General features: G+C 38.1%; 1 protein-coding gene across 18 annotated transcripts in view; it reads right to left on the bottom strand.

Moving 5' to 3' along the window:
• The window catches only part of RBPJ (recombination signal binding protein for immunoglobulin kappa J region), a 329,683-nt gene that overhangs the window by 29,902 nt on the left and 280,446 nt on the right, over positions 1–19,335 (bottom strand). For all 18 annotated transcript variants that reach the window (XM_047415656.1, NM_001374401.1, NM_001379407.1 and 15 more), the window contains one exon: positions 18,839–18,877. In XM_047415656.1, the coding sequence (XP_047271612.1) occupies positions 18,839–18,877 (39 nt within the window). The remainder of the gene's footprint in view (positions 1–18,838; positions 18,878–19,335) is intronic.

The raw sequence follows: 19,335 nt of genomic DNA, 5'->3' as shown, positions 1-19,335 counted from the left end.
TACACACTAAGTAGCCTGGTGCAAATCATTTAACCTCAACCAGCCTCTGATTCCCTAACTGGAAACTGAAGATAATAACACCTCCCTACCACAGGGTGGCTGAGGGGATTAAAGGAGATAACCTAATAACAGCATTTATATTTACCAACTGAAAAAACCTGTTAGCTCCAAGGCAGGGCAGTAATACCAGGATATAAATAGACTGAGAACTAATCCCTACCACTGAAAAGAAACTCAAAGTCCAAATTGTAATTAAATGCAATAATCCAAGTAGAGATATGTACAAAAAGCACCAATAAGGGAACGCCTATGTAAAGACAGGGGTAGATGGTAAAGGACTACATGCTGGGAAAAGTTCTTAGAAGCCCTAATTCTGAGCGAGAAGTAGACACAGGAAGTGGGAGGAGGAAAGCATAAGGCGTTACAGGGCCTGATAATAGTGTGAATAAAGGCATCAATAACTGCACATTCAGGCTAAGGAGTAAGGCAGCCACAACAGTAAAACAAGAGCAGCTTATGTTTCTTGAGTGTTTACTATGTGCCAGGCCTTGAACTAAGCACTTTAACTCCATTATTTTATTTAATCCTCATAATCCAAAAAGATAAGTACTGCTATACAGCTAACACCATTTTGATTGTCATGCCCAAGCTCTTATAGTGAACAGTGGCAGTCAGGAATTCACACAAATTTTGTGAGATTCTAAGGTGAGCCACGGCAGTGAATAAGGTTGACAATGATAGAGTCAAACTATGAAAGGCTTTGAAAATTGGACATTTGTATACTTAAATACTAAGTATAAAAGTTTATGCTATTTCAAATATTACCCCATAACAGGTGATGATAAAAGTGGTAATACGTTTCTGCATAGCAAAAGAAACCATCAATGGAGTAAACAGACAACCTACAGAATGGGAGGAAATACGTGCAAACTGTGCATCTGATAAAGGTCTACTATCCAGCATCTATAAGGAACTTAAATTTACAAGAAAAAAAACAAACAACCCCATTAAAAAGTAGGCAAAGGATATGAACACTTTTCAAAAGTGTTCCAACAAGCATATGAAAAGTGGCCAACAAGCATATGAAAAAAAGCTCAGTATCACTGATCATTAGAGAAATGCAAATCAAAATCACAATGAGACACCATCTCACACTAGTCAGAATGGCTATTACTAAAATAGCAGATGCTGGAGAGGTTGTGGAGAAAAGGGAACATTTATACACTGTTGGTGGTAGCGTAAATTAGTTCAACTGTTGTGGAAAGTAGTATGGCGATTCCTCAAAGAGCTAAAAACAGAACTACCATTCCACCTAGCAATCCCATTACTGGGTATACACCCAGAGGAATATAAATCATTCTACCACAGAGACACATGCACAGGAATGTTCATTGCAGCACTATTTGCAATAGCAATGACATGGAATCAACATAAATGCCCATCAGTGACAGACTGGAAAAAGAAAGTGTGGTACATACACACCACCGAATATTATGCAGCCATTAAAAAAAATGAGAGCATGTCTTTTGTGGGAACATAAATGAAGCTGGGGGCTGTCTTCCTTAGCAAACTAACGCAGGAACAAAAAAACAAATATCGCATGTTCTCACTTACAAGTGGGAACTAAATGATGAGAACTTATGAAGACAAAGAAGGAAATGACAGACACTGAAGTCTACTTGAGGGTGGAGCTTGGGAGGTGGGAGAGGAGCAGAAAAAATAACTATTGGGTACTGGGCGTAATACCTGGGTGATGAAATAATCAACAAACCCCCATGGCATGAGTTTACCTATGTAACAAACCTTCACATGTAACCCTGAACCTAAAATAAAAGTTTTTAAAAAAAATTCTTGGAAAATTATTTGAAGCACTTTTAGGGGAAGTATTGTTATATGGTTATTCATTATGATTAAACCTTTAAGTATAAAAAAAGTGGTAGCGTGTAGTAAAATCTTTAAAGATCCAGAGAAAAACTCAAAACGAAAAAAAAAAAAAATCCATCCCTTTGTGAATTGGGACAAGATCACCAGTCAATTTTCTCTCAAGCCCATTATAGAAAATCAATACTATAGAAACTGAATTTTCAATCTAAACGAAAGGCAATGAGAGATCTCATTAAGGTTTTTTAAAAATACGTAATTAATTTTACTTTTTAGTTATTTCTAGAGAAAGGATTCAAAAGCAGAGAAGACAAGACAAACTTATAAAAAGGCTCTCACACTAAGAAGACGGTAACAGAAGATAGTAGGGGACAGGAAAAATAACTCTATGTATCTTTTGTTTTGGGAGAAGTGGGTATATATTATTACTAGGTTCTGCTGACAAAAGTCAACTCTGAAGTGCCCCTGGGACCTCCAAGTTGAAAGTATTCAGTAGGCTGTTGGAAGTATCTATGCATAGTTCAAGAGAGAGGTCTGGGCTGAAAAGGTGGGGTTCACTAGTATGTAATTGGCAAACAACACCACGGAAGTAAATGGACTCTCCCAGAACAAAAACACATTGACAGGAGAGTCAAGAAGAAAATGTATTAAAGGAAACTGAGAACTGATAAGAGGAAGAACTGAAACCAGCCTCAGGTGCTGCAGAAAGACACAACCTCGAAAGAAGGGAGCAATCAAAGGTGAAATGCCACAGAAGTCAAGGTCACTTTAATTTCAGCAAGAAGTCTAACAGATGCCAGCTGGGGGAAGGACATAAGCAGGAGTCAAGTATGAAAGTCTCTATTTTATTCGTAAAATGAGAGGCCATATGATGTCTAATGGATAAGAAAACAATACTGGAAATACCTTCCAGGGTATGGAAAAGGAAGCTAACTATGGACAAATAAAACAACTGAAGATTGGTATCAAAGGACCAGCTAATGTTGGAATCCAAAATTAATGGTGCCGATTCCCACTAACATTCCAAGGGAGGGAATAGGGAGACCAAACTGCTGGGTACCAGAGATGCAGTCTGGAGAGGGTAACATGATGAGGGATTTGAGGTGTTGCAAAGTCAGGTGACTGAACATAGAGTTCAGGGTGAATCAGAAAACAAAAGCAGGCTGGGCGCAGTGGCACACGGCTGTAATCCCAGTACTTTGGGAGGCTGAGGCAGGCAGATCACCTGAGGTCTGGAGTTTGAGACCAGCCTGACCAACATGGAGAAACCCCCTTTCTACTAAAAATACAGAATTAGCCAGGCATGGTGGCACATGCCTGAAATCCCAGCTACTCGGGAGGCTGAGGCAGGAGAATCACTTGAACACAGGAGGCAGAGGTTGCAGTCAGCCAAGATTGCACCATTGCACTCCAGCCTGGGCAACAAGAGTGAAACTCCCTCTCAAAAAAAAAAAAAAAAAAGAAAGAAAGAAAAAGAAAACAAAAGCAAAGCCAAGAGAAGGCCAATATCCTGACAAAACTGGCACAAAATTTCCCAGCACAAAACTTGAAGAGCTACTATATATTTGAATAGTTTTAAGCCATTAAGTGTATTTCCGGATACTAAATTCTATTTGTATTTGTAGTCTCTATTACATCATTTAGCAGTAACTGCATTGTGTTTGTCAGGTTTCATGTTTATTTTTCTTGTCTTCCCAAATAGACTACAAAGTCTTTAAAGGCAAGATCCATATTTTACATTTCTATCCCTTTCATGACAACTCGGGTAAAACAGGACACAAACTTGGTATTTGATAATATCCGAGGCAGTCACAAATGCTTTCTACAAAGATTTTAATTATAATCATTAAACGAGCTAAAATTAAGCAATCACTCTTCCAGTACTCTTCTAAGCATGTATTAACATAACCAATGACCTTGAGGGTAACACTATTATGTACATTTTAGAAACTGGGTAGAGGTTAAGTAACTTTCCCAAGATGATACTGAAGAGTGAGGATTCAAATCTGCGTAGCCTAGCTTGTGAGGACAAAATCATACCGTTAGTGATTAGGGGTATAGCTTTGGTGTGAAATAGATCCGGGTCTGTTACTAAGGGTCTGTCAATCACTAAGCCTGAGTTTTCTCACCTGTAAGATAAAGGCAGTAATGCCTCATATTGGTGGTGGGGGCAGGGGGACACTTTAAAGTAAGTTAGTCCCACAAACTGACAGAAAGCAAGTGTCAGTAGCCTCGAGCTATTACTATTATTTCCTTAGAAAGAAGACTTCAACCTTCAACAGTACACAAAATGCAGAGGGAGGGAAAATGGGACTTCCACTGAGGCTTTGAGAGCAAACTTGAAAATGACCTAGGAATGAATGATCAGGCATGTTACCCAATGTGCAAAGCACAAATTTTGCAAGTACACCAGGTAAAGTGCACAACTATCCATCTTCCCACTGAAGATTTATTGGAAGCTTACTATATTCTAGGCACTGGGCATTCTACTGGCTTCTACTACTGGATGTAACTGTTCACAGTTCAAAGACCTCACAGTGCTTATGATGAATGCAGGGTGACAGCTCTGGTTTTCCTCGTCTTTTCCTTCATGTTTAGAATACAAATTCCTGAAAAAGTAACTAGAGCCTCAAGGTAATCATGAACAATAGTTGTCCTGTAAAAGTAATTTGCCAAATAGCTTCTTTCAACAGTAAAAATAAATTTCACTTTATTAAACAGAATATTAAAACATTAAAAATTATGTTCTCTGGCAATTAAAGCTTGATCATTGACTTTCTGCATCTTAAGGAGCCATAAAACAAGACGATATACTCTAAAGAAACACAATAAATAGTAAAAAGCCTGTCAAATAATAGCCCATATGCTTTTCATCCAAATAGAGGAAGGCTGTGTCAATAAATAGGATTTCTATCTCAGCACTGCTGACATCCTGGGCAAAATCATTTTCTGCTGTGGAGAGATTGCGCTGTGCATTGTAGGACTATGTAGCAGCATCACTATCTTTTACCCTGCAGGTGCCAGTAGCACCCTTCCTTGAATTATGACAACTAAAAATGTCTCCAGATGGTGCCAAATGTCAAGAAAGAGGATGGAGTGAGATGGTCACATGGAATGAAAACTACTGGGATAAACCCAAAAAATTTCAGTGGTAAGATATCACAATCATCCAGGTTTTTTTTTAATTAAAAAATACCAAAAATTTTATTATTGGAAAAACATATTACAGGTGCTGAAGAATCCTTGACCGTAGAATTACTGTTTTATTATTGAACTGTTTTTTTGAATACTTTAAAACATAAGGTAAATTTTGAAGTCTATTGTTTACTAATTTCATTTAATGATTTCTTACATAAAATTTTCATTCTAAATGAAAACCAATTGGATTACGCCTGTAATCACAGCACTTTGGGAGGCTGAGGTGGGCAAATCAATTGAGGTCAGGAGTTTGAGGCCAGCCTGGCCAACATAGTGAAACCCCATCTCTACAAAAAATACAAAAACTAGCCAGGCATGGTGGCACGCGCCTATAGTCTCAGCTACTCAGGAGGCAGGGAATTGCTTGAACCCAGGAGGCGGAGGTTGCAGTGAGCCAAGATCGCACCATTGCACTCCAGCCTGAGCGACAGACTCCATCTCAAACAAAAAAAACAAAACAAAAAAAGGAGATTTTGTTATCAAAAATAATTTTACTAACATGAAATTATGGAATTATGGCAAATGCCATTCTGGTTCAACATGCTTAATCTGTGATTACCTCTGTCAATTTTTTGACTGTGGTTTGCCTTATAAAATTCAAACTTTTTTTATACAGAAAAAAAAAAAGGAAAGAAAAATACCACAAAGAGAATACTACAGTGAAACATCCATGAATGGTAAGATAAGCTCATGTGCTGTTTCTAATGGATCTACTTTTACTAGTTATGCCAATGGAGGCAATGGGAGTCTGCAAAAAAAGGGAAGAACCTGGTCCCCGCGTAAAGGTAAAAGAGAACTTCAGTTAAGGGAACATAATCAATGTTATTAAATATTACAGAATAGTCAAGAAAAATAAAGATTAGAAACTCTTCATAAATTTGACAATTAGTTCATAAATGGAACGGCTTAATTAGAATCTTCTCAGTGAGCTGGTGGTGAGGCAACACCACTGAAGCAAGCTACAAAATGAAAGGAAGGGAAGAAAGTGCAATGAACGTAAGTCATGCTGATAAGGAAAAGGGGTGGTGGCGGGAATAACTAAGGTTACGGCAGAAAAGTTTGTCTCTTTACAGGATTTTTAAAATTCTGGATATAAAGGGAAGTTTTTAATTCCTAAGTTTGTTAAAACAAAAAAAGCCAAGAAGAAAAGGTAAAGATGCACTGCAAAAAAACCTAGTATCTAGAAACTGAGTACTTTTAAGTAGCTGAAGTATATAACACACAGAATTCTGAAAGACGGGCTGGACGAGGTGGCTCCCGCCTGTAATCCCAGCACTTTGGGAGGCTGAGGCAGGCAGATCACAAGGTCAGGAGTTCAAGACCAGCCTGGCCAACATAGAGAAACCCCATCTCTACTAAAAATACAAAAATTACCCGGGTGTGGTGGCAGACGCCTGTAGTCTGAGCTACTTGGGAGGCTGAGGCAAAAGAAGCACTTGAACGTGGAAGGCAGAAGTTGCAGTGAGCTGAGATTACGTCACTGCACTCCAGCCTGGGCGACAGAGCGAGACTCTGTTTCCAAAAAGAAAAACAGAATTCTGAAAGATGAGATTGGAAAGACAGGGTGGGGTGAGATTGGCTCAAGCCTTAAATGTCATGCTAGTAAAGTGTACATTTAATCCATAGCTTAGTGTTTCTCAAAGTAAATTCCTGGAGGCAAGATCCTCCTTAAAACGGAGTTCTGAGGGCCAAGACATATGGAAAACACTACAAACCACATCTCCCGCTAGGACATTAATTATAGCGGTGAGTTTGCGGTGTCCTTATGGTGCTAATCGCCATTCTTCTGAAAACAGACTTCCTCACTTTCTCACCACACTCTTACACACCTCTGTGATTGGTCCAAGGGGTAAGTGGAGGGAGTGTGGGAGAGAGGGAAGAGGAGAAAACCACCACAAAGATGGGAGGTCCAGTCATCTTTACCTCCAGGCTCACTCTCTGCGCTTCTCAAATTGGACTACTGTCACTTTAAAATCCAAATAATAAAAGTCCAAAATGAACTCTGTCTTCTAATGAAGAAACTTATTTTTGTTGTATCAAGAATTTTCAAAGTAATCACACACACACACACACACACACAATATCACTCGTGAACATTTTAGAGAACTGAAGAGCATATTGAGAAACACAATAGGCCACAGTCATCAAATCACAAAGCAGCCTGTTTTTGTGCCCCCTAGGAGCTAAGCATGCCTTTTACATTTTCAAAGAGTTACAATGCCGGGCAAGGTGGCTCACGCCTGTAATCCCAGCACTTTGGGAGGCCGACGCAGGCGGATCACAAGGTCAGGAGATTGAGACCATCCTGGCTAACACAGTGAAACCCTGTCTCTACTAAAAATACAAAAAATTAGCTGGGCATGGTAGCACACGCCTGTAATCCCAGCTACCTGGGAGGCTGAGGCAGGAGAATCGCTTGAACCTGGGAGGTGGAGGTTGCAGTGAGGCAAGATCGCGCCACTGCACTCCAGCCTGGGCAACAGAGTGAGACTCTGTCTCAAAAAACAACAACAACAAAAAAAGAGTTACAAAACAGAGACTAATAATATGCAACAGAGATAGTATGTGGCCCTCAAAGCCTAAAATATATACTACTTGACGCTACAGAAAATGCTTGTTGATCCCTGCAGACAATTTTTAAAAGTTTTTAAGGAAAAGTTGCAAAACAGAATTCTAATTAAATCAATTAAGTATATTGCACGGCTGACATTCAATCAAGAATTTTTTTATAAAATTCTTCCTCAAAACTTGACTTATGAACAACTGAGGGTTCAGAAAGCTCAGCTCAACTCTTCTCACATCTACTTGGGGATGCTGCCAAAAGGCATCCTGATTTATACGCACCCCCACAAAACCTTGAAGAACTGCCCTATTTTTGTCAGACTCTGGCAGTCTCGCCTTTTACACTGCCTCAGACACTTCTCAAAGTGAGCTCCACAATACTTACGGTTTACAAAGAAGCGTGTCTCAATCCAAGATGCTTCAGTGAAATCAGATAAAATAAAGTGAAACTAATTCATGGCAGAACTACTCAGAACCTTAAGCAAAATCTTCAAGAGAGGGATATTTGTAGGTTTCATTTTCCAAGCTATTAGACCAGACTAAGATCTCCTTGTTTTTCTTCCAAGGAAGCTTCCTGAGAACTACTGTTTGCCTGAGGACCAGTTTTGAAAATGACAATCTAGGGATACTATCAATAGTCAACAAGGTCCTGGTGCCCTTGTAACACAATAAAACATTGAGGCTGCTGTACTAAGTGTCTACATCTACCAGTGACCAAAGCTAAACAACAGTACAGGTCCTGTTCCTAAGGAAACACCTGCAAACCTCACTTCAATCCTCTCTTTTTATAGCAGAAGTAAAAATGTCCCAAAATTCCACAAAAAGTTTTTTGTAGATAAGTAAGTAAATTGCTTCAAATCCTGTCACACAGCTATGAGACACATTCTTTCAAATTCTGACCAGCTCTTGGTTTTCCCCTCCCCGCCTCCCACTCCCAAATAGGCATAGGCCGTTACATTGAGAGCAATGGGTCATCAACACATCTGTGTTCTATTAGCTTTAAAAGGTTATTGTACAAATAAGCCATTTTGCTACTTAAGGCTTTACCTCTTATGTAGAGAAAAATTTGGGACTAGAAGAATCTGAGAACATAAAATAGTATGAGGTGCTGACAATCAAAGGCAAGTCACCATCTTGGTTCTTCTATTTCTAATCCTGGTTGATGCAAACTTAACTCTTCGAATCCCAGGGATCAGACCGCATAGTCTCTTCCTACTCTACTCCATTCTCTTATTCCCTCAAGATGCCCTATAAACATGTGACTGGTCTAAATAAAGTTGAATCTTATTTGCAACCCTTTTTAATATGAATTATTTACCCATTTATGGACTAATTAGTTGACTAACAGCAAAGTTCATGTATTACTATTCATGTAGCAGATCAACCTTAGGCTTTAATTTGACTATCAATTTAAATTCATTTTACATTTACCTACTTTGCATGGTGTTTGTTACTCATAGGTGTCTTATGATGAAACAAAATACATGACTAGGTTGAAACATGAATATTTTACCTGTCATGCAAAGAAACCTCTGTCTACCTATGCTCACAATTTAAAATGGATGCTCTCCTGTCTCAAAGTGAGGAGATGAATCATAAAGAGAAACAGGCACAGAAAACAGAAACTTTAACCATAATCCAGAGGAGACAAAGAAAATACACTGTTTTAAGAGTTTCTCATTAGGCACTGGTAAAATGCTTCTAAAAATTACATGCTATGGATAGGGAAGAGAAGAGATTCAAAAAGAACAGGGGTTTTCTCAAAGACAATGCAATCCCTAAATTAGTAGACAAATATGAACATATAATCGTCTTAGTCCGTTTGTGAAGCTGGGTAATTTATTTTAGAAAGAGGTTTATTGGGCTCACAGTTCTGCACACTGGAAGACTGGGCATCTGGTGAATGGCTCGGGGTGCTTCCACTAATGGCTAATGGGGAGCTAGCAGGCAGAGATCACAGGGCAACAAAGGAAGGAAGAGAGGGAAGGGAGGTGCCAGACTCACACCTCCCATTAGACCCCACCTTAAATATTCAGGATCAAATTTCAACATGCTACTTAGTGGGTCCAAATATCCAAACCACAGCACCCATGTTAACGTGGACAATAGATATAAAGCTCATTTCTTCTTTTGTTTTTTTGAAGCAGATTCTCACTTTGTCACCCAAGCTGGAGTAAAGTGGCACAATCCGGCTCACTGCAGCCTCAATTTCCTGGGTTAGAGGGATCACCCCACCTTAGCCTTCCATGTAGCTAGGACCACAGGCGGGCAATACCACATCTAGCTAATTCTTTAATTTTTTTTAATTCTCCCTATGCTGCCCAGGCTAGTCTCAAACTCCTGGACTCAAGCAATCCTCCTGCCTTGGCCACCCAAAATGCTGGGATTACAGGCTTGAGCCACCATGCCTGGCCTGGAGCTTAGTTTCTTAACCTTCACCTTAAGGTATTATTACTTACTCTGAGGCAACCTTCAAAGCAAGCCAACAGAATTTCAGAAACTGATTATTTCCATATCTGACCATGGCCACAATGGAGGTACATGTGAGAACAGAGAGGTATGGCAGGGAGGCTAACAGAAGATGGGCTTTGCAAAAAGTGTTAGGCCAAGTGACAGAGAAAAAATATTCTTAGTGAGAGAACACTACAAAATAGTTACAACAATTACAACAAACCTTGAAGAAATGGTAAACTTTTATGAAGAAAACCTCATGACATTAAACGGATTCAAGCAAAAGCATGAGGTAATGGCTACTAGTCTGGAGTGTTGTAGGGGAGAAGGTTAAGATTACGTTCTTTAGAAGTCTTCAGGATTCCAGTCTTACCTTTTGGTTAACAGCAGAGCAGAATCACTTAGTACAACAGAGTATTAAGTCGAATAATATCTCTTTTTTAAAAAAAGCACTTCAGAGCTCAGGCCTACTCTTATCTAAGAAACAGGCACCTCCACTCGACACACTAAGCACTCCTGAAGACCAATGCATAACTGCATTGCAACTAAGATTTTCAGGCTCTAAATGACAAAATGATTTGAGGCTCTAAAAGCCTCAACAGTACAAGAATAATTGTTCTATGCATTATATAACATCTGATTATTCTATTTGGTTTTTTTTTTTTTTGAACTGACAGTCAAGTTATACTTGTGGGCCATATTAAAGGGAGTATTTCAAGAGATTGGGACGTCCTTAAAAGCCAACACTCTATTCCTATCATATACATCCTGAAAGAATGTAATTTTTGTAAAAAGAAAAAAAGTGAATCCAGGCTGGGCGTGGTGGCTCACGCCTGTAATCCCAGCATTTTGGGAGGCCAAGGAGGGCGGATCACGTGGTCAGGAGATCAAGACCATCCTGGCTAACACGGTGAAACCCCGTCTCTACTAAAAATACAAAAAAATTAGCCGGGTGTGGTGGCAGGTACCTGTAGTCCCAGCTACTCCGGAGGCTGAGGCAGGAGAATGGCGCGAACCCGGGAAGCCGAGCTTGCAATGAGCAGAGATCGCGCCACTGCACTCCAGCCTGGGCAACAGAGTGAGACTCCATTCTCAAAAAAAAAAAAAAAAATGAATCCATAGTAACAGTGAATAGTATATATTATTAACGAGCCTTAATCAAAAGTTTAAACTCTGTGTAGGCAGAACTATGTTTAGAACACTACCTAAAAGATGACCTTCACAACAGGATGCTTTTTCAATATTGCTTAATTTGGAAAATGGGAGTAAGAATAGTGTTTCAAAGATTTTTTTTTTTAAGGAATAAAATCTGCCCAATTTTAAACTCTCTGCACCCCAATGGAGAGAAAAAATGTTAAAATATTTCTCATCAAATAAAATAAAAGATACTAAAATTTTCCTAACTTGAATATTCTTTAAAGGAGAAATGGAGGAAAAAAAAACATTTTAAAAAGCATTCTCAAGGCAGGGTGTGGTGGCTCTCGCCTGTAATCCCAGCACTTTGGGAGGCCGAGGCAGGCGGATCACTTGAGCTTAGGAGTTCAAGACTAGCCTGGGCCATATGGGGAAATCCTGTCTCTACAAAAAATATAAAAATTAGCCAGGCATGGTTGTGTGCACCTGTAGTCCCTGCTACTCAGGAGGCTGAGGTGGGAGGCTGGCTTGAACCTGGGAGGCGGAGGTTGCAGTCAGCCAAGATCACACCACTGCGCTATAGCCTGGGTGATAAAGCCAGACTCTGTCTCTCAAAACAAAACAAAAAAAGGCCAGATGGTACCTAAAATTATATTATCAAAGGGGAAAATTTCTGATTTCCAAGTTTGTGCTTAATAAAATAAAATGTTATCACAGATTTGGTCATTGATTTTACATTTCCATTTGCTGTTATACAAATTTTGCTAAATTTGCCTTATTTTAGCTTCAATAATAAACAATATAAATCTGTAGTTTGCTCTCTTTCAGAGATTTAAAAAGAAATAAAACTCACCTGAAGCCAGGCGTGGTGGCTCACACCTGTAATCCCAGCACCTTGGGAAGCCAAGGCAGGCGGATCACTTTAGGTCAGGAGTTCGAGACCAGCCTGGCCAACACGGTGAAACCCCATCTCTTCTAAAAATTAAAAATTAGCTGGGCATGGTGGCAGGCACCTGTACTCTAGCCTGGGTGACAGAGCAAGACTCCGTCTCAAACAAAACAAAACAAAACAAAAAAATAAACAAAACTTACCTTAATTTACCCAAGAAGATACACTAATCCCTTTCAGAATATTTTAGAATATTTTTCAAGTATAAAAGCTTCTAAGTTTTTAACAGCTTTATTGAGATTTAATTGAAATATAGTAAAATACACTTATTTAAAGTGTGCAATGTGACAAGCTTTGGCATGTATATATACACCATCACCAAAATCAAAATAAAGGTATTCACAATTGTGAGTTTCCTTTCTGCCTTTTTGTAATCTTTCCTCCTGCCTCCCCCTATCCCCAGGAAACCACTGATCTAGTTTTTGTCAGTACAGATCAGTTTGCATTTTTTATAATTCTATGTAAGTGGAATCATTCAGTACGTATTCTTTTTTCCTGATATATTTAGAAAATTGAATATAATTATTTTAAGATCCATCTATGTTGTTGCATGTATCAAGTTCATTCCTTTTTTACTGCTTAATAGAAATTCACTGTAGAATACACTACAATTTGTTGATCCACTCACCTGTTGCTGGATATTGGGGTTATGTATGTGTGACTACTACAACTAAAGCTAACATGAACATTTGTGTTCAGGGCTTTGTATTCAGATGTTTTCATTTTCCTTGATTAAATATGTAGGAATGGAATAACTAGGCCATATGGTAGAGGTTTAACATTTTAAGAAAGTGCTAAATTATTTTCTAAAATTATTGTACCACTTTATATACCCACTGCCAGTGTATGAAAAGTACTAGCTGTTCCCATGATGAGTCCTTTAAATTTCAGACATTTTAACAGGTATACAGTATTAATAGTATCTAACTGCTAAAAAGTGTATGTGTCCCCCCAAAATTCCTATGTTGAAACCTAATAGGAGGTGGGGCATCTGGGAGGTGATGAGGTCATGAGGATGGAGCCTTCAAGAATAGGATCAGTGCCCTTGTCCCTCCTGCCATGTGAGGACACATAAAGAAGACAGTCATCTATCAACCAGGAAGCATCTCCCAACAGACATCAAACACACTGGTGTCTTAATCTTAGACTTCCCAGCCTCCAGAATTATGAGACATAAATTTGTGGCTTATAAGCCACCCAGTTAATGGTACACTATTATAGCAAACCAGTGGGACTAACACACTCACTGTAGTCTTAATTTGCACTTCCTTAATGGGTATTTGTCATATTCACACATTCTTTGGATTAGTATCTGTTCAGACCATTTCCACCCTTTAAAAATGGATTGTTTCCTTATTATTTACTTTTCAGAGTCCTTTTCATCTTTGTTTTTTATTTTGATGAAGTAAAATTTATCAATTTCTTCCACAGATTGTGTTTTAGTGTCTAAGAAATGTTAGCCTAATAAACAACATTTTCTCCTATGTTTTCTTCTAAAAGCTGTATACTTTAAAGTTTTACATTTAGGTCTACATTGAGCTATTTTTTTAATATGGTACTATGTATAGACTGTAGTTACTTTGTGTGTGGGGGGTGGGTTGAAGGAGGAATGGATATCCAATTGTTCTACAATCAACTGTTAGAAAGACTACCATTTAAAAAAAAATCTAGCTAAATTGCCTTCGCACCTTGACTGGAAAGTAACTGACCACGTATCTGAAGAACTATTTCTGGCCACTATTCTGTCACAATGGTCTACTTAGCTATCTTTATGCCAATACAATACTTTAAATTACCATAGCTTTATAGTAAGCTTTGAAACCAGGCAGTGTAAGTTCTTTTTTCTTTTTTTCAAGGTTATTTGCATTTCTATATAAATTTTAGAAACAGCTTGTCAACTGTTACAAAAAAGCCTGCTGAGATTTTGACTGTGATTGTGTTGAATCCACAGGATCAATTTGAGAAGAACTGACATTTTAACCATATATATATTTATTTGAGACAGGGTCTCGCTCTGTCATCTAGGCTGGAGTGCAGAGGCACAAACATGGATTACAGCAGCCTTAACCTCCTGGGCTCAGGCAATCCTCCTGCCTCAGCTTCCCAATGTAGCTGGGACCACAGGCACGTGCCAACATGCCCAGCTAATTTTTTTTATTATTTGTAGAGACAAGGTCTCACTTGGTTGCCCAAGCTGGTTTCAAACTCCTAGCCTTAAGTGATCCTCACACCTTGGCCTTTCAATGTACTGGGATTATAGGTGTGAACCATCACACCCAGCCCATTTCAACAATATTAGGTCTTCTACCTGAAGAACATTTAATTAGGACTTCAAGTTCTCCCAGTAATGTTTGGTAGTCTTCAGTGTAGAGTTTTTGCACCTTTTGTCAGACTTTTCCTGATATATATTTTTATACTACTGTGTAAATTGTATTGCTTTCAAATTCCAATTTCCCATTGCTCATCAGTATACAGAAATACAATTTAGTTGTGTATGTTAATCATGTATCCTACTACCTTGCTAAACTCACTTATCAGTTCTAGTAGCAAGATTCCGCAGAATTTTCTATACATATGATCATGATATCTGCAAATAAAGACAGTTTCACTTCTTTCTTTCCCATCAAGACGTCTTTCATTTCTTTTTCTGGCCTTATAGTACCTCAAAATACAATGTTAAATGAAATCTGTGAAAGCAGACATCCTTGTGTTGTTCCTAATGTTAGAGGAAAAACATCCAGTGTTTCACCAATCAGCATGTTGTTAAATGTAGTTTTTTCACAGGCACCCTATGATGAGGAAATTCTCTTTTATTCCAAGTTTGCTGAGAATTTCTATTAAAAATGGATGTCAAAAGCTTTTTCTAAATCCCGAGATAACTATATGATTTTCCTTTTTTGTTCTATTAATATACTGAATTACATGAACTGTTTTCCATTCCTGAGATAAAGCTCACTAGGTCAAGATGTATCATCCCCTCAATATATTGTTGGATTCCATTTGAAAATTTGTTAAGACTTTTTATAACTATGTTCACAAGGGATACTGGACAGTAATTTCATTTTCTTGTAATGTCTTGCCTACTTTTCGCAACAGGGTAATGCTATGCTCACAGAATGAACTGAGAAGTATGTCCTGCTCTCCAATTTTCTGAAAGAGTATGTATGGAATTGAGATAATTTTTTTCTTAAATATACAGTAGAATTCAACAGTGAAGCCATCTGGGCCTGCAGTTTTGTCAGAAGGTTTACAAGTTCAATTTCCTTAAATATAGGACTATTCAAGTTACCTGTTTCTTCTTGAGTAAGCTTTGGTAGTTTGCTAGTTTCAAGAAATTGTGTGCATTTCTTCAAAAGTTGAATATTATTGGCAAAAAGTTAATTATAATATTCACTTATTATCCTTCAAACATCTGTGACTCTATAGTGATGTCACCTTTCTTGTTCTTGATATTGGTAATTTGTACAGAATCGGATTTCTATCTAGTATGATCATCCTTCTGCTTGAAGAATTTTAACACTGTAGCTAAGGCCTATTTGCAATAAATTCTTTCAATTTTTAATATGCCTAAAACGGTATATATCTACTGGGTATAGAATTCTAGGTTGACAAGTATAGGTCCCCCTTGAGCACTTCAAAGCACTTGCTCTGTCTTATCCACAGCAAGGTTTCAGATGAAAAACCTGCTGTCATCCTCTCTTTGTTCCTCTGTGCATAATTTGTCTTTGGTTTTCTGTTGTTTTTTTCTTTATCACTGACTTTAATCAATTTGATTATAAAGTGCTTCTGGGTGGTTTCTGTACTCAGGATTAACTGATTTTTTTTTTAGATGGGGTCTCACTCTGTCACCCAGGCTGGAGTGCAGTGGTGTGATCTCAGCTCACTGCAACCTCCGTCTCCTGGGCTCAAGTGATCCTCCCATCTCAGTCTCCCAAGAAGCTGGGACTACAGGCACGTGCCACAACTCCTGGCTAACTTTTTTTTTCTAACTTTCTGGTACAGACACGGTTTCGCCATGTTGCCCATGCTGATCTTGAACTCCTAAGCTCAAGAGATCTGCCCGCCTCAGCTTCCCAAAGTACTGGGATTACAGGCGTGAACCACAGCACCCAGCTTAGATCTGTGGTTTTACAGTTTTCACTAATTTTCCAGTTAGAACATTTTTGCCATTATTTCTTCATATATTGTTTTATTCATACTCTTCCTACGATGACTAACTACATATATATGAGGTCACCTGACAATAAAACATGGCTCACTAATGCTCACCACTTTTTTCAGACTTTTTCTTTGTGTGCTTCATTTTAGATAGTATCTATTGCTATGTCTTCATGTTTACTAATCTCCTCTTTGTCCATTCTGAAATTAATCCCAAGTGTACTTTTCCACCTTAAATATTAAACTTTTCATCTTTAGAGATTTAATTTGAGAGAGAGAGAGAGAGAGAGAGTGTGTGTGTAATCTTCTATGTCTCTATTTAACCTCTCCTCTAGCTCAGGTTCTACTAATTACAGTCTGTAGGCCAAATCCTACCCACCACCCATTTTACAAATAAAGCTATACTTCACTGTACAGACACTCTAATTGTTTACACATGGTCTATTGCTGCTTTTGTGCTACAACAGAAGTGAGTAGTATGATGGAGGTTATATGGGCAACAAAACCTAAAATATGTACCATCTGACTCTTTAAAGTTTCCCAGCTCTTGATCTTGACATCTTGGACATATAGAACACAAATATAATAACTGTTTTAGGCTGGGCACCGTGGATCACACCTGTAATCCCAGCATTTTGGGAGGCCAAGGAAGCAGGAGGATTGTTTGAAGCCAAGAGTTCAAGATGAGCCTGGGCAACATAGTGAGACCCTGTCTCTACAAAAAAACAAAAAAAAATTTACTGTTTTAATGTTCTTATCTAATAATTCTATTATCTGTGTCATTTCTGGGTTGGTTTTGATTCACTGATTTTTCTTGTTATGGATATTTTCTTGCTCCTTTGTATGACTGGTATATTTTGATTTTGCCTTTCTGAGGGAGTGCTGGATATTTTTCTATTCCTGTATTCTTGAGCTGTGTTCTGGTACACAATTAAGTTTGTTCCCTTCAATCCTTCTTTAAGTTTGCCAGTGAAAACAGAGCATCATGCCTGGACCCAATTTTATATCACTACTGAAACAAAACCCTTCTGAGCACTCTAGCGAATGCCCCATAAATTATGAGATTTTTCCACTCTGGCTACTGTTAACAGGCACAATTCATAGCCCTAAGTGAACTTTAGAAATTGTTTCCTCTGATTTTTTGGGATATTTTTCCCCAATCCCCACCACGGAGTAGTTTTCTTACACACGCATGCTGATCAATATGCAGCTGAAGACTGAAAGGAAACCTCTGTAGATCTCTGGACCTCTTTATACAGTTAATTCCTCTCCACTTTGCAGCCCTGCTAACTGTCTTGCCCTCTGTGGACTCCCAGTTTCTCAGGAATCACTTATCCTTCTATACCTGATGTTCAATACCTGGAAAACGGTTTTTACATATTTTGTCCAGGTTTTTGTCCTTCTACATTTATTAGGCGACATGCATCTGTAAGGAAAAGCTATCCTCTTTGCCCCATTTATTAATTATAAATGACTTTTATTTATATAAATAATATTTATCCTGAGATTAATTATCTCAGTATAGACTTCAAAGCTGTTGTTTTATTATACAGGTTTTAATCCATTACTATCATTATTTACCTTGATAACCAAAGTGTCCCAGATTTCCCCTTCAAACTGTCCTTTGTATCCTTCTGTAGGTCCCCATCGTTCTTTAAGTGTAACAGCTTTTTAAAATAATAGCAATAATTTGGAAATGACCTAAATGGTCATCAATGTGAAATATTAAAAGTGGTATGAAAGCTATGAAAAACCATGGAGCCATTAAGGGGAAATATCAAGGTAGAAGATGTACTGTTAAGTGGCGTGAAAAGGTGTAGAACAATGATAGAGTGTGATCTCAGTTGAGTTTATGAAGAAAAAGGACAGACACATACATACATATACATATATATATATATCTCATTTTCTTGAAAGACACCAAAAATAAACTGCTAAAAACGCAAGGTTTGCACTGACTCTAGGACATGGCCATAGAACTAGGTCTCTTTATTTTACAATTCTGGCTGCTAGAAATTTTAAAAATCATTTTTAAGACCAATACTTTCAACATTCATAATTAAAATGTATATTGTACAACTTATACTCATTAAAAATAGATAAAACGTGTGTTTTCTTAAAATGGGTAAAAACTGTTTTCCTTAAAATTCTTTCCTAAAAGCATTTACTTTCAAATCTTACCTGCAATCAACAAATTGTGATGGGCTAACCATAGCTAGATATAGAAAGCTACCTGCACTGCCGTCCATGTTGTATTCACTACATAAGACTCAAGACTAATTCTAAGAAAGGTTTCATTTTCCCTTTTCAACTATATCCTTTTGTTCCTGTTTTTGGTGAGGGACGGGAGGAGAGATGAGGGAAAGGAAGTTTGAGAATAAGTTTATGCTCTAGACAGTAATATTTGAATGACTTTAAGGGTACCTATTAATATAATATCTAAAACAATAAGATTTATACTTTCATAAAATGTATGTGTAAAAAGCTGACTAATATAATACTCACCTAGTAAGTCGTTTAGGTGGAGGCCGCTCACCAAATTTCCTGGAAAAAAAAAAATAAAGAAAATAAAGTTAAGTAAGCTTTATGATACACTCTACAGAAAGCTTTTCAGGCATCATAAAATCTCTTTTATGACTTATACTTCAATCTCACTGAAGAACATGAAGACAGAAATCCTCTGGTAAGCATCTGTATCCCAAAATTACAAAACACACATTTAAACATGCAAACAACATGCCCTAAGTAAGCCTTACAAATGCACTCTGAACAAGTAACACACTGATTAGATGGGGAGGACAGGTATCTTTTAGAGACGACTTACCAATAAAACAGCTAGCCAAAGACCCTCACAAAGTTTATCATGTGTCAGGCACTATGCTATACATTCGTTATATACCCTATGTAATCATTATAAAATAATTCTATTAGCCTGGTGTTGTGGTGCTTGTCTGTAGTTGCAGCTACTCAGGAGGCTGAAGTGGGACAAGAGACTGAGCCCA

This window comes from Homo sapiens, chromosome 4 (assembly GCF_000001405.40).
Source record: "Homo sapiens chromosome 4, GRCh38.p14 Primary Assembly".
NCBI classification, from domain to species: Eukaryota; Metazoa; Chordata; class Mammalia; order Primates; family Hominidae; genus Homo; species Homo sapiens.
Note: the sequence above shows the minus strand (reverse complement) of the source record. Positions and strands in the feature narration are given on the sequence as shown.